Genomic DNA, 14,149 nt, shown 5'->3' on the forward strand with positions numbered 1-14,149 from the left:
CACGTACCTAGTCCCAGTTACTAGGACATCTGGGGAAGGAAGATCCACTTGAACCTAGGAGTTCGTGTCCAGCTTGGGCAACATAGCAAGATCCCATTTCTCTCTAAAAGAAAAAAAATGAGCCAGGCATGGTGGCTCATGCCTGTAATCTCAGCACGTTGGGAGGCTGAGGTAGGAGGATTGCTTGAGGCCAGGAGTTTGAGACCAGCCTAGGCCACACAGTGAGACCTTTTCTCTATAAAAAATGTAAAAATTAGCCAAACACAGTGGCACGTGCTTGTAGTCCCAGCTACTCGGGGGCTAAGGAAGGAGGATTGCTTGAGTCCAGGAGTTGAAGGCTATGATGAGCTATGATTGCACCACTGCACTGCAGCCTGGGCAACAGAGTAAGATCCTGGCTCTTAAAAAAAAATGTTGGCCGGGCGCGGTGGCTCATGCCTGTAATCCCAGCACTTTGAGAGGCCGGGGCAGGTGGATCACGAGGTCAGGAGATCGAGACCATCCTGGCTAACATGGTGAAACCCCGTTTCTACTAAAAATACAAAAAAATTAGCCAGGCATGGTGGCGGGTGCCTGTGGTCCCAGCTACTCGGGAGGCTGAGGTAGGAGAATGGCGTGAACCTGGGAGGCGGAGGTTGCAGTGAGTCGAGATCGCACCACGGCACTCAAGCCTGGGCGACAGAGCAAGACTCTGTCTCAAAAAAAAAAAAGTTGAAATTCTAACCCCTGGTTACTTATGAATATGACTTTAGAAATATGGTCTGTGCAGATGTAATTAAGTTAAGGATCTAGAGGTGAGATATGTTACAAACCACTGTGGGACTGACTGACCACCTGTCCCTTTGCATCTTGGGTGCACCCAAGGTCAAGTCCAAGAAGACACATGTTCTTGCTATGAGAGTAATTGGCTCTCGTGCTTTCAATGTGGATTGCCAGTTGGCTTTCCATGGAGATCCACTGCTGCTCTCCTGGGCAGGTAGGGAGCACTTGTTCCCGTACACCCTCCCCAACCTCATGTGCGGGCAAAAATTATTATCTTTGCCCGTCAAATAGGTGGGAAAAGTCACTTTATTATTTTTTTTTTTTGAGACACTCCCTCACCTAGGTTGCAGTACAGCTCATGGCCACTTCCACCTCCCAGGTTCAAGCAATTCTCGTGCATGAGCCTCCCAAGTAGCTGGAATTACAGGCACGAGCCACCACACCTGGCCAGCTTTGTGTATTTATAATCATCGTTTCTCTTGTTATATTTTCCTAAGTTTTGAAGCAAGATGTATTTCACTTTGAACCATCTGTTCGGACCGGTGTCTGTTAGGAAACTGTGTTTGGATACAACAAAATCCATAAAAGCAGTAGCTTTAATCAATTAAAGGTATCTTTGCTCATATGAGAAGCAGTCTGCAGACAGGCAGTCTAGAGTGGGTTCAGCAGCTCCATGATGCCATGAAGAACTCATTCAGTTCCTCTCCATGCAGCCATCCTTAACATGTACTGTTGCCTCATAGTCACTAAATGGCTGCCCTACCTCCAGCATTGCATCTATATCCCAGGTGAGGAGAGGAGAAAGGCAAACAGTATAAGGCATGTGCCAGCTGAATCTACCTTCCTTTCAAGGTGCTTTCTTGGAGGCCACACCTAGCAATTTGTCATTACATTTTGCTGATTAAAACTGTCACATGGCTCTATCATCAAGGAGAGTTGCAAAATATGGTTTTAGCTGGACATATTACCATGCCCAACAGGACGGCATTCTTTCTGTTAAGTGAGAAGTGCGGCCCTGCAGCCTCCGTTTCCTTTGCCTACTTTTCTAACTGACTTCAGGCTTTGCATTACTGATGAGCAGGTATTGGTGACATGAATCACAAATCCTGTTGTTAATTAGCCTCCTGGCCCCACACCCCTCCCCCAACCTGCCCCGGCCTGGACCTGGTCTAGCTCTTCCCCAACCCTGTGAGTCCAGCAGACAAGTGCACTTCTGGAGGTGCTGAGAAACCCCTGCAGCAGTCTCTAGCGATTGTGAATGCTGGACCCTTTGCTATTGAGTGCCTGCTGCTCTCCCTGGTTGGGGACTGAGGAGCCCTGAGCTTGACCAAGGCCCAAGATTTTATCACAAACTCAGAGACCCTTGGGCAGCCACAGGCCGGTCTCAGTGACTGAGGCTGGTTCCCCATTAGGAGCCCACTCCTGTAGCAAGGGCCTCTCCTGCCTCCTCTGGGAGAGAGAACCCACCCGGCCTAGGCCCATCTCTGCTGGCCTGGTCAGAAGGACCTGGTCCAGCACCCCTGAGGCATGTGTCACCCCTTGCCCCCACCCCCAGGCCCCAGGCCCCTCTCTGTGAATAGGCTGGACACCACGTGTCCTGGCAGCCGCCAGCCCAGCATCAGTGGCAAGGACCTGGCCGTGGGCCCGGCCCAGCCTGGCGTGGACTGGGATGTCATTTACTGGCTCCTCACTCAGCTCTGCAGCTTCCAGGACCCTCCGGCCCAGAGTGGCCCTGCCCAACCCGCCTTGCCTGGGGCTGATGGCATAGGGCTCAAGGCTCCGACCTTATGAAAAATGCATGCTCACACTTCCCAAACACAGACGTCATTGATGAGAAGCGGAGTCGCCGGTGCCTGAGCCGGGGAGGCCAGAGGAGGTTGTCAGCATAGTCCCGCAAAGTCATCACCCTCAGCGGCCACGCTGACTCACTGCTCTCGGAAGGGTCTGTCCTGGCTCCTGGGCTCCTCTGACAAGATGTTGTCAGTTACACGGGGCGGGGGGGGGACCAGTGCCCTCGGTGTGGGTACAGCCTGGCAACTGCAGGAAGCTGAGAGGGAAACTGAGGTGCCAGCCTGGCTGTTGAGATCAGAGCCAGCCCCCCGCAGGATCCCCTCCCAGCAGCTCAGTGGGGGAGCCCTCACCCACCGAGCCCCCTCTCCATGCCCAGCCTCACTCACAGGATGTCACTGGGTCCCCGCGATCTATGTGGAGGCAGGGCATTCCCTTTCCTCTCTGGCGAGCGCCCAGGTGGCCATCTAGCCAAGAAAGGGACAGTAAACAAGCCATGCCGCGACTGGGACAGGCCATGTCCTGCAAGGGCTGGTCAGAAGCACAGTCCTCACAGCCGTGGGGCGAGTATGCCGGGAGGAGTTCTCAGGCAGAGGGAAAAGCCAGTTCCCTGATGAGGAAACAGGAGGCCAGTGTGACTGGAACAGCCAGGGCGGGCTGGGGACTCCGAGGGAGCTGGGCACTTCCATGCAGGGCCTCACTGGCCACGGTGAGGAAGGACGCCTGACCCGACATCCATCTGAGAAGCCTCGCCCTGACTGCTGGGTCAAAAAGAGACTTGAAGGGGAGCAAGAGGAGAGGCAGGGAGAGCAGCTGGGGTCCCCCAGCCGAAGGGCCAGGAAGACAGACCGAGAGACACGCTGGGAGTAAGGAACCACGTTTACTGCGCCGCAAGGTTGGCAGGGGCAGGCTTGGGCCAAGCCCAGGAGGCTGGTTTCAGATGCATTCATGTGATGTCCGCCCCAGTATCCGGGAAAGGCCCAGCGGCAGCAGGATCGAGGTTTCTGAGTTCAGGGATTGAGTTCAGGGAGCGGGGCCAGCTGGGGTATCCGTTTGGCAATCAGAATGCTGTCAGCCTCGAAGCTGGCTGAGATCACTCAGAAAGTGGATAATGAACAAACGTCACCATAGGGGAACTGCACCCTGAGCCCCTCCAATATGTGGAGGTTGAGAAGATAAAGAGGCACCCACAACGGAGCCCTAGAACGAAGGACTGTCCCCGGGAGAATGTTGCTACCAGCTGGCATTCCAGCAGGAGCCCAAAAGCCAGTCCTGGCGCTCCCAAGAGAAAGGGATTTAAATTTAACACGGGGAACCTTGTGCTTAAAGCCGTTGCAAGGGCTGGAGGAACTCATGCTGGGTCAGTCCCGGCTCCCAGCTGGTCAGAGCACTGCAGGGAGCAGCTCCCCACCACATCGGGTGGGACAGGCAGGGGCGAGCAGAAGGCTCTGGGAAGCCCAGCATCTACCACCCCTGGGGAGCTGAAGAAAAGGCGCATCCCCCAATCTTGCCCCTACCAGTTCTCCCATAAGTGTATATCTTGTTAGCAGAGCCCAGGCTGCACCCACATCCACAGAGGCAGAGCTGCTGAAGCCTGTAGTTCTCAGGCCTCCAGCCCCTGCACTGCAGGGACGATGCTAGAAGGGCGTGGGAATGGCCCTATTTGCAGAGCAGTACCCAGATTGTTCTCATTCACATGTGTGGAAACTGAGGCCCCACAAGGTCATGTGGCTTGTGCAGAATGCTTCAGGTTAGCTGGTTACCCTGTTATCTTAGTATAAAAGCAACTGAAGGGCTGGGTGGGGTGGCTCACACCTGTAATCCCAGCACTTTGGGAGGTCGAGGCAGGCAGATCACCTGAGGTCAGGAATTCTAGACCAGCCTGGCCAACATGGTGAAACCCCATCTCTACTAAATATACGAAAAATTAGCCAGGCGTGGGTGGCTGGAGCCTGTAGTCCCAGCTGTTCGGGAGGCTGAGGCAGGAAATTGCTTGAACCCAGGAGGCGGAGGTTGCAGTGAGCTGAAATTGTACCACTGCACTCCAGCCTGGGCGACAGAGCAAGACTCCATCTCAGAAAAAAAAAAAAAAAAAGCAACTGAAAAAATCACAAAGGAAAAGACAGATTTGATCTAAAATAAAAGTAAAATTCCTACATGCTCTATATGCCCAAAAATATTTTATACAAAGTTAAAAGGCAAATTAAAAACTTACAACAAATAACTATCATATTTATGGCTATGTTAATAGCCTTAACATAGAGACCTTATAAAAATGACTAAGAAAAATGTTATCCCAATAAAAAAAGTTTAGCCAATTATATTTAATCATTTACAGTATCGTAGAACACATTGTAAGTGAAATTAATTATTAAATAATGATAATTCACAGAAAAATACAAGTGTTCAGAAAACATATGAGGCTGGACACAATGGCTCACGCTTGTAATCCCAACACTTTGGGAGGCCAAGGCAGGAGGATTGCTTGAGCCTAGGAGTTAGAGGCCAGCCTGAGGAACATGGTGAGATCCAGTCTTTACAAAAAATTAAAAAATGAGCCAGGCATGGTGGTGTGCATCTGTAGTCCCAGCTACTCAGGAGGCCGAGGTGGGAAGCAGCTACTCAGGAGGCCGAGGTGGGAAGCAGCTACTCAGGAGGCCGAGGTGGGGAGCAGCTACTCAGGAGGCCGAGGTGGGGAGCAGCTACTCAGGAGGCCGAGGTGGGGAGCAGCTACTCAGGAGGCCGAGGTGGGGAGCAGCTACTCAGGAGGCCGAGGTGGGAAGGCAGCCTGAGAGTGAGCAGTGATTCTGCCACTGCACTCCAGCCTGGACGACAGAGTGAGACCCTGTCTCAAAAACTTCAAAAAAAAAAAAAATCTATATATATGTATATATAGATATATATAGATATATGAAATTTTCACTGCTAATTTAAAAATCCAGACTAAAACAATGAGATTCCTTCTGCTTTGTGAGACAGGGTCCCACTCCATTGCCCCACCTCGAACTCCAGGCATGCACCACCATACCCGGCTAAGTTTACACTTGACACGCCCTTGCAGAGATGTTCCTTGCTCATGCATCATTCATTTTGGTTATTTTTTAATTCATTCATTTGAAAACCTTTATGGGTTCATTTGAAAATATTATTGTGGTAAAATACATGACATAAAATGTACCACTGTAGCCATTTTTCAGCGTAGAGTTCCGTGGGGTTAGGCACATTCCCGCTGTTGTGCATCCATCACTGCCCTCTATCTGCAGAAGCTTTTCATCCGAGCGAACTGAAGCTCTGTCTGCATTAGGCGACTCTCATGCCCGCTGGCCCCTGGCACTCTCTGCTCTGCCTGGATGCGGCAGCCTGTTCTCATTAGCTGGAACCGCACAGTACTTGTCCCTTGTGTCATTCCTTGCACTGCCTCATCATCTTCGTTTATTTCTGTCTTTGCCCTGACCTCACTTGGCAAACCCAGGAGAATCTGGGGACCAGTTCCTGAGTGGGGAGGCACTGCCAGCTGCCTTGGGGGCCCCACTAACAGGCCCTTTGCAGCCCCGGGGCCGCTCCACCCCTGCCTTTGCCCAAGTGTCCCACCCCCACCGCCGCCCTTTCCTCCCGGCCCAGCCAGGGCCCCCCACCGGCTGTCTCTCTTCCAGGCTCTGAGCCCCCAGAAGCAGAGCTTTGTTTTGGAGGTTCTGTCTGGGTGCCTCGAGTACCGGAAGCTGCTGACCGTCGTGGTGGATGCCTTCTACGTGGAGGATGGCCGACTCTGCCTGCGGGTTGACCACAGCCGCTTCGAGGGTAGGTGCCTGGCTGGTCCCCAGGGCCAGGCCGTAGAGACGGTTCACTCAGGCTCTCTGCGGAAAGGCCTGGCAGGCAGGCAGCGGGCAGGCGGGGCCAGCTCCTCCTTCCTGCCCTTGCACTGGAGGCTTCCCGGCTCCTCACCTCACTTGGTCCTTACCAGGCGGACCAGGACCTTGCAGATGGGAAACTGATGCCCCAGGGCAGACAGACCTGGCTCTGCCACCCCAGTTTAGGGCATCCAGCTCCCAAAGGCAGCCCGGACAACACGAGAGCCTTCCGTAGGCTGACCCCTAGCCACCACTGACCCCGAGGCCTTTGGACAAGATGGACCCTGTGGCTGCCGTCTGGACAGTCCTGTGGGGGATTAGATACAAGAGACTCGCTGCCTGGGCTTCCTGCAGCCTCTGACAGCCGTCTGCTTTCATGGGGCAGGGCGACCATTGCAAGCCAGGTGGCCAGTGCTGCTGGGGGGAGATCAGGGCAGCCCTGAGACCCTGCACAGGGTCTTGCTGCCCCCGTCCAGGAAGGGAGAGGAGTGGGGCGAGCGCTGTAGGGTACTGGGAGACTGAGCTGAGCAGCTGATGCCAGTCCTGAGCTAGGCTCCTGTCCCGACCCCTTGCCACCCAGCTGGAGCCTTATGATGCGCAGCGCGTCCAGGCCACAGGCTAGGGGCCCGTTACAGTTCCTGCCTTGGCGGAAACTCGGGCCCAGGTTTATTCACATTCTAGCCGGCTTGAGGTGACGATTCAGCTGCTCAGAAATTGACAAACAAGTCCAAAATGATTTCACTTTTACCTGGGGAGCCTTTGCAAATTCTGAGAACTTATCAGATGGGATTATTTGTCAAAGTGCTTTGAAACCACAAATGCATTGCACTCTAAGACAATGTTGTTTGTGTTCGCTTATCATTTTCAGGTGGGCACCAATAGGGTGGGGGTTTTCCTGTGGCTGCGTGCCCTGACACGGTGGAGGCCTTCGGCTCCGGTCCCGCCGTGTGCCTGGTGCCCCGTGACGTCCCTTAGCCTCTGACAGACCCCCTGTTTTCTAGTGATCTGCTACCTAGCCACATTCCTGCTGGAGGAACTCGGCTTCCAGCTATTCTGTAACATCATCAAGTCCCAGCCCGTGGATAAGATGTGCAAGGTGAGCCACCCCTACCTGCCCACCAGGCCACGAGGCCCACGGGTGAGGTCCGTCTGATCCTCGCCCACCTTTCGTCATTCTGGTTGGGTTGTTTTGTTTGTTTGTTTGTTTGTTTTGAGACGGAGTCTCACTCTGTCGCCCAGGCTGGAGGGCAGTGGCGCGATCTCAGCTCACTGCAAACTCTGCCTCCCGGGTTCATACCATTCTCCTGCCTCAGCCTCCCGAGTAGCTGGGACTACAGGCGCCCGCCACCACACCCGGCTATTTTTTTGTATTTTTAGTAGAGACGGGGTTTCACCATGTTACCCAGGATGGTCTCAATCTCCTGACCTCGTGATCCGCCCGCCTCGGCCTCCCAAAGTGCTGGGGTTACAGGCGTGAGCCACCACGCCCGGCCTCTGGTTGGTTTTAATGAAAGAAACTCTGGTGGTTTTCTTCTGTATTTCAAAGAAGTAGCAAGCTGGGCATGGTGGCTCCCGTCTGTAGTCCCACCTGCTTGGGAGGCTGAAGCGGGAGGATCACTTGAGTCCAGGAGTTTGAGGCTGCAGTGAGCAGTGATTGAACCACTGCACTTGGGCCTGGGTGACACAGCAAGACCCCGTCTCTAAAAAACAAAGAAACAACAACAACAACAAAAAACCCAATGCACACCAACTAGTGTGGGTGAATGTGCTGCTTTTGTCCTGGGGAAATCCGATTCCGCTCCTGGGGGCCTCTTCTGACTCATAATCAAATCCGAGGCCCAGAACAGCCTCTCCTCCCTGTGCAGCTTCAGGGGTCCAAGGGAATTGGTTCAGGGCCAGTGATGAGGATTGGCACCCCGAGGGGGAGCCTGCAGGAGCCCACGCCCCTGACTGCCTGGGGCCACTTGCGTGGGAAGCTGGCACACACAGGCCTCTGGACCGAAATGTTTGGGCCTGGGCCTGTTGCTGGCTGCTGCCTGCTCACACTGACTGCCAGGTTTTCCCGGACACTCATGGTGCTTGTTCTTGCTCCATTCTTACAACGACCCAGTGAGGTTGCTCCTACATGGTACTCATCCCAGGGTTGCGGAAACTGGGGCACAGAGAGGATAAGTAATCTGCCCAATGTCACACAGCAAGAGGGTAGCGCAGCCAATTCCCAGACAAGACTTTTAGCCACTGGCTTGCTCCTCCTTACTCTGCATGGAGGGGACAGTTTCCAGCCAAGGAGAGCCACTCCCTGGAGAAGTGAGTGGGAAAGCCCCTGGGCCCAGATCTTCGAGGTCTCTCTTGAAGGAAGCAGCTAGCTCTTCAGGGGGTGTTCCAAGCCTGGAGAAGTGGGAGACCTGGAGTGGCAGAGCCCACCAGGATTGCAGCCCCATAGACCTGGGACCGGCGGCTCACACAGCACCTCAGCCACCTAACAGGTGAAGGGAGGGAGAGTGCAGCCCCGAGCCAGCACTGTACACATCAATGACACATTTTCCATCTTCACAGAAACGTAAGTGATTCATGAGGCATACACATTTGTATAGTTACCTTAAGCAAGGCCTTCATTTTAATGAAAAAGCAGCAAAACTGATGGCATTTTCTGGCAGATACCTGGAGACTGAGTTGGGGCCAGCTTCCCTGGAAACCAGAAACCAAACCCCAGAAACCAGAAACCAAACCCTGGAAACAAGAAGTCACTGGTGTCTGCTCTTCTATTACTATCTTGACATTTTTTTTTTTTTTAAGACGGGGTCTCGCTCTGTCGCCCAGGCTGGAGTGCAGTGGTGCAATCTCGGCTCACTGCAACCTCTGCCTCCTGGGTTCAAGTGATTCTCCTGCCTCAGCCTCCCAAGTAGCTGGGATTACGGCATGTGCCATCACGCCTGGCTAATTTTTGTATTTTAGTAGAGACAGGGTTTCACCATGTTGGCCAGGCTGGTCTCGAACTCCTGACCTCAGGTGATCCGCCTGCCTCGGCCTCCCAAAGTGTTGGGATTACAGGCGTGAGCCACTGCGCCCAGCTTGACATTCTTTTTTTTTTTTTTTGAGACGGAGTCTCGCTCTGTCGCCCAGGCTGGAGTGCAGTGGCAGGATCTCGGCTCACTGCAAGCTCCGCCTCCCGGGTTCACGCCATTCTCCTGCCTCAGCCTCCCAAGTAGCTGGGACTACAGGCGCCCGCCACTACGCCCGGCTAATTTTTTGTATTTTTAGTAGAGACGGGGTTTCACCGTTTTAGCCGGGATGGTCTCGATCTCCTGACCTCGTGATCCGCCCGCCTCGGCCTCCCAAAGTGCTGGGATTACAGGCGTGAGCCACCGCGCCCGGCCGACATTCTTAATAATTGCTGAACAGGCGGGGCATGGTGCCTCACGCCTGTAATCCCAAAACTTTGGGAGGCCAAAGCTGGAAGTTTGCTTGAGCCCAGGAGATCAAGACCAGCCTGGGCGACAGAGCAAAACCCCATCTCTACAAAAAAATATTTTTTTTCTTTTGAGGTGGAGTCTCACTCTGTCCCCCAGGCTGGAGTGCAGTGGCGTGATCTCCGCTCACTGCAAGCTCTGCCTCCCAGGTTCATGCCATTCTCCTGCCTCAGCCTCCCGAGTAGCTGGGACTACAGGCGCCCGCCACCACACCTGGCTAATTTTTTTTGTATTTTTAGTAGAGACAGGGTTTCACCATGTTAGCCAGGATGGTCTCGATCTCCTGACCTTGTGATCCACCCGTCTCAGACTCCCAAAGTGCTGGGATTACAGGCGTCAGCCACCGCGCCCGGCCAAAATTTTTTTTAAATTAGCCTGGCATGGTGGTGCTTACCTGTAATTCCAGCCACTCACGAAGTTGAAGCAGGAGGATCACTTGAGCCCAGGAGTTTGAGGCTGCAGTGAGCCATGATTGTGCCACTGCACTCCAGCCTGGGTGACAGAGCAAGACCCCTTCCTAAATGATAATAATAATAATAATATAATAATAATAATAATTGTTGAGGCCGGGCACAATAATCCAGCAGTTTGGGAGGCCGAAGTGGGTGTATCCCTTGAGGTCAGGAGTTTGAGACCAGCCTGACCAACACGGTGAAACCCCGTCTCTATTAAAAATAGAAAAAAATTAGCCGGTCATGGTGGCACGCGCCTATAATCCCAGCTACTCAGGAGGCTGAGGCAGGAGAATCACTTGAACCTGGGAGGCGGAGGTTGCAGTGAGCTGAGATGGCGCCATTGCACTCCAGCCTGGGCGACAGAGCGAGACTCCATCTCAAAAAAAAAAAAAAAAAAATTGTTGAACAAAGATCCATGTTTTGTCTTGCCCTGGGTCCCACAGTGGTGGAGGTGGCCCTGGATCAATCTCGGCCTGCAGAGCCCCAAAGCGCCAGCCCAGGACAGAGTGCTCAGGGGCTGCTGCAGGGACTCCCTAGGAATTTGGGGCGCTGGCCACACAGCACCGTTGGGGACAGGGTGGTGCCCCCAACACTGGTGCCTGCACACTTACCAACTCAGAGAGCCTCTGGAGGCAGATCCATGTGAATTGCCCACGTAAATCCCCAAGGGAACTGCCCAGGAGACTGCCTCCCTCCATCCCACACCCCATGCCCCGCTGGGCCATGCCTATCCCATTGGGGTCCTTCTTCCTGCCTCGGGGCTCCAGGAAGAGGCCAGCCTGGGCCTTGAAGAAGGGGAGCAAGCTACTGGGACGCCACCTTGTGGCCTCTCCAGGGAAGCCCCTGGGCCACACCTTGGGTGCTGGTACCACCATGGTCAGGAGTGGTGGGCGGTGACATGGTGTGGCTCCCAGGAGGTGGCGCTCCTCACTCTGCAGGGAGTGGCCCTGAGACACCTGTAGGGGGCTGATGGCCCCACAGCTCCAGGGAATCTGCCCGCTGGCAGAGGGGGAGTCAGACCCACCGCAAAGCCCCACCCCAACTCCAGCAGGTTCCGGGTAGGGCTGTCCCACCACACCCCAGTGAGGATGGGGGCCTCAATACAGGGCTGTGTCCTGGTGGGAGCACCCCAGCTGAGACGCTGAGTGTGGGGATGGGGTTTGGAGATGGAGGGATTGGGTGGGGGCAGGGACCAGTGCTGAGTCTGTCCCAGGGGACTCAGGAAAGCACAAAAGGTCTGCTCCCAAATGGGGGTGGCCAGAAGGAAGGTAAGTAGAGACCCCAGCCTCGGGGCAGGGAAAATGGCCCCCTTGAGGGAGGAAGCAGTAACAGCGTGCAGCTGAAATGGGAAGGGGTGGGAAAGGGGGTGGAAGCAGCTGCGGAAGGCTCTAGAGGGATCCCTGGTTTCCTCTGCATGGAGAAGAGAAGGGCGTGGAGGCCCGAGGGGAGGCTGCTGGGGAGGGTGGCCACCCTGGGGAGGCACAGCAGTGACTGCAGGCCCTGCCTGGCCGGCACACAGAAGCCGCCATCCTGCCCACCATTACCCCCGCTCAGCCCGTGCCTCCTCGGCCACCTCCCAAGTCAACTCCCTGCCCCCAAGACCACCATTCAGGATGTGCTTCTGGGGCCGTCACCATGGAGCCCCGGACCCTCGGCTCCCCATCCAACTGGCTTTCGGGAAGTTGACTGGACAAGGCCCTCCAAGCTGAGGATGTGCCGCCAGCTTCTCAGGCACCCCCTCCCCACGGCAGCCCACCCAGGGACCCCGGGGGCTGCTCCTCCCAGCTGGAAGGGGAGCCAAGGTCCAGGCCTCCAGCACCAGCATCAGAGTTCCGTGGTGACAGTCCCAGAAGCACACCCTGCGCGGTGGCCTTGGGGGCAGGGAGCTCACTGGGGGTGCTGGGGGCCTTGGGGGCAGGGAGCTCACTGGGGTGCTGGGGGCCTTGGGGGGAGCCACTGGGGGTGCTGGGGGCCTTGGGGGCAGGGAGCTCACTGGGGTGCTGGGGGCCTTGGGGGGAGCCACTGGGGGTGCTGGGGGCCTTGGGGGCAGGGAGCTCACTGGGGGTGCTGGGGACTTTGCCCGGTGAGGGGTTGGGCCCAGGGCTCCGGCCCCCTGACAGCCCCCGTCCACCCCAGTTCCTCAGGTTCTTCTTCAACCCCCTGCACCTGTGCTCATGGATCAAGGATGAGTGGAGCCTCATCTACGAGCCAGCCCACGTGAAGGAGAACTGGATCGACCCCCTGATGAGGTAGGCTGGATGGGGGGCTCTGGGGGCCCTGAATGGCATCTGCACCCCATTCCAGGTGCCTCCACGGGCACGGGAGCTCCACGTTCCCCTTCCTGCTCCCAGAAGCTCTATGAGTGTCAGTAATCACTCCGTGTTCGGATGAGATCTTCGGAGAAGCCCCAAGTCCCAGGCTGGCCCCACAGCCTCGCGGGGAGGAAAAGACGTGGTCCAACTGCCCAAGCCCCAGCCTGGGCTCCCTCCATGCCAGTCAGCTGACACGTGGCGGGTGGCTGAAGGCCATTTCAGGACTGGCTGAGTGAATGGGGCAGAGCCGGCCCTTCTGTGCTGGAGCCTACATGCTGGCTGGGGCTGCGTCAGTGGTTCTAGTCCTGTGGGGACTCTGCAGGGCCTTTGGCCTCTCTGCAGATCCCAAGAGTGCGGAGTAGGGGTGAGGGTGGAGGGAGCTGAGGAAGCCACAGATCAGTTCCTGGTGGATTCTGGGGTCTAGATATCTCTCGGGGTCCCCAAGCCTGCTGCCCTCATGCTGCCCTTGCTGCCTTCTCCTGCCTCCCCAGCAGGCCTGGGGCAAACTCCGGGGCAGGCCAGAACCCCCAGGCAGAGGGGTCAGCACAGTTGCTAGGGCCCTGCCTTGTGCTCCATGGAGAGGCCTGCTGGGGCCTGAGTGCAGCTGAGGGGCCCCCCAGTTTTTTCCCTTCTGATAGGACTTGAAGGGATCCACTTTTTCTTCCTAAGGACAGACAGACAGGCTGTTTTGGCCCAAGCAGACCACTTAGGTGCCAGCTGTGTGCAGAAGACCTGGAGGCCCAGGGGAGATGGAAGCCGTTCCTGTGGGGAGAGGAGGCCCTGGAGATGTTCCTTTACCAAGGGGAAGTCCCCAGTCCCACCCAGTCCACTCCTGGCAATCAAGATAAACCTCCAAAGGAAGGAGTAGGAGTGGCCCTGCTGGTGCCCCTACCTTGTGCCCCAGGCTAGACTCACTGCCCACTCAGGGGCCCCCATGGCCTGGGCCTGCAGGGTTGCCTCTGGGAAGCTACTCAGCTCAGTTCCCGTGAGCCCCTCTTCCTGCGCCACCACCCCCATTCAGGCTTCCTCTGCCTACTCTAGGACCAGCCCCTCTCCCCAACCTGCCTCAAGTTGGGAGCACTGGGGCCTGGCCCTGGCGAGACCCCAAGACTCCACTTGCTATGGGCCCTGGACCATGGCTCTTAAGGTGAGGGAGGAGCTATTTGAAGCCATGCCCTCTGCCCCCTGGGAGCCCACACAAGAGGATACTTGATAGGCTGATGATGGTGGGCTGTGCCCATGCTGGGTGTGGGACATGGAAGGGGGAGCCCCACACTCGGGCGGCCTGGCAAGGCCCTTCCCAAACCCCTGCTCGACAGCACCCCCACCCAGAGGCTGTACCAAGGACAACTGGGCTCCTGCCCCACCTGACTCCACAGCTCCATTTCCAGGAGTCACCAACAGTATAGTTCCAGAATGTTCCTTTCCAAAAAGCTCCTTTCTCCACTGCTGGCTTCCATCTGCTCCAGCCCAGATTGGCTTCCTGCATCCTGGCTACTGCTTGTCCTCAGAGC

The 14,149-nt window shown here is 56.0% G+C and overlaps 1 protein-coding gene across 2 annotated transcripts in view; it reads left to right on the plus strand.

The window, feature by feature from the left end:
- Window positions 1-14,149, plus strand: part of CFAP99 (cilia and flagella associated protein 99) — a 44,048-nt gene that overhangs the window by 11,716 nt on the left and 18,183 nt on the right. For both annotated transcript variants that reach the window (NM_001193282.4, XM_047415685.1), the window contains exons 3-5: window positions 6,204-6,348; window positions 7,400-7,494; window positions 12,460-12,572. In NM_001193282.4, coding sequence (NP_001180211.2) covers window positions 6,204-6,348; window positions 7,400-7,494; window positions 12,460-12,572 — 353 coding nt within the window. The remainder of the gene's footprint in view (window positions 1-6,203; window positions 6,349-7,399; window positions 7,495-12,459; window positions 12,573-14,149) is intronic.

The sequence above is a fragment of the Homo sapiens genome, chromosome 4 (assembly GCF_000001405.40).
Source record: "Homo sapiens chromosome 4, GRCh38.p14 Primary Assembly".
Taxonomy (NCBI): domain Eukaryota; kingdom Metazoa; phylum Chordata; class Mammalia; order Primates; family Hominidae; genus Homo; species Homo sapiens.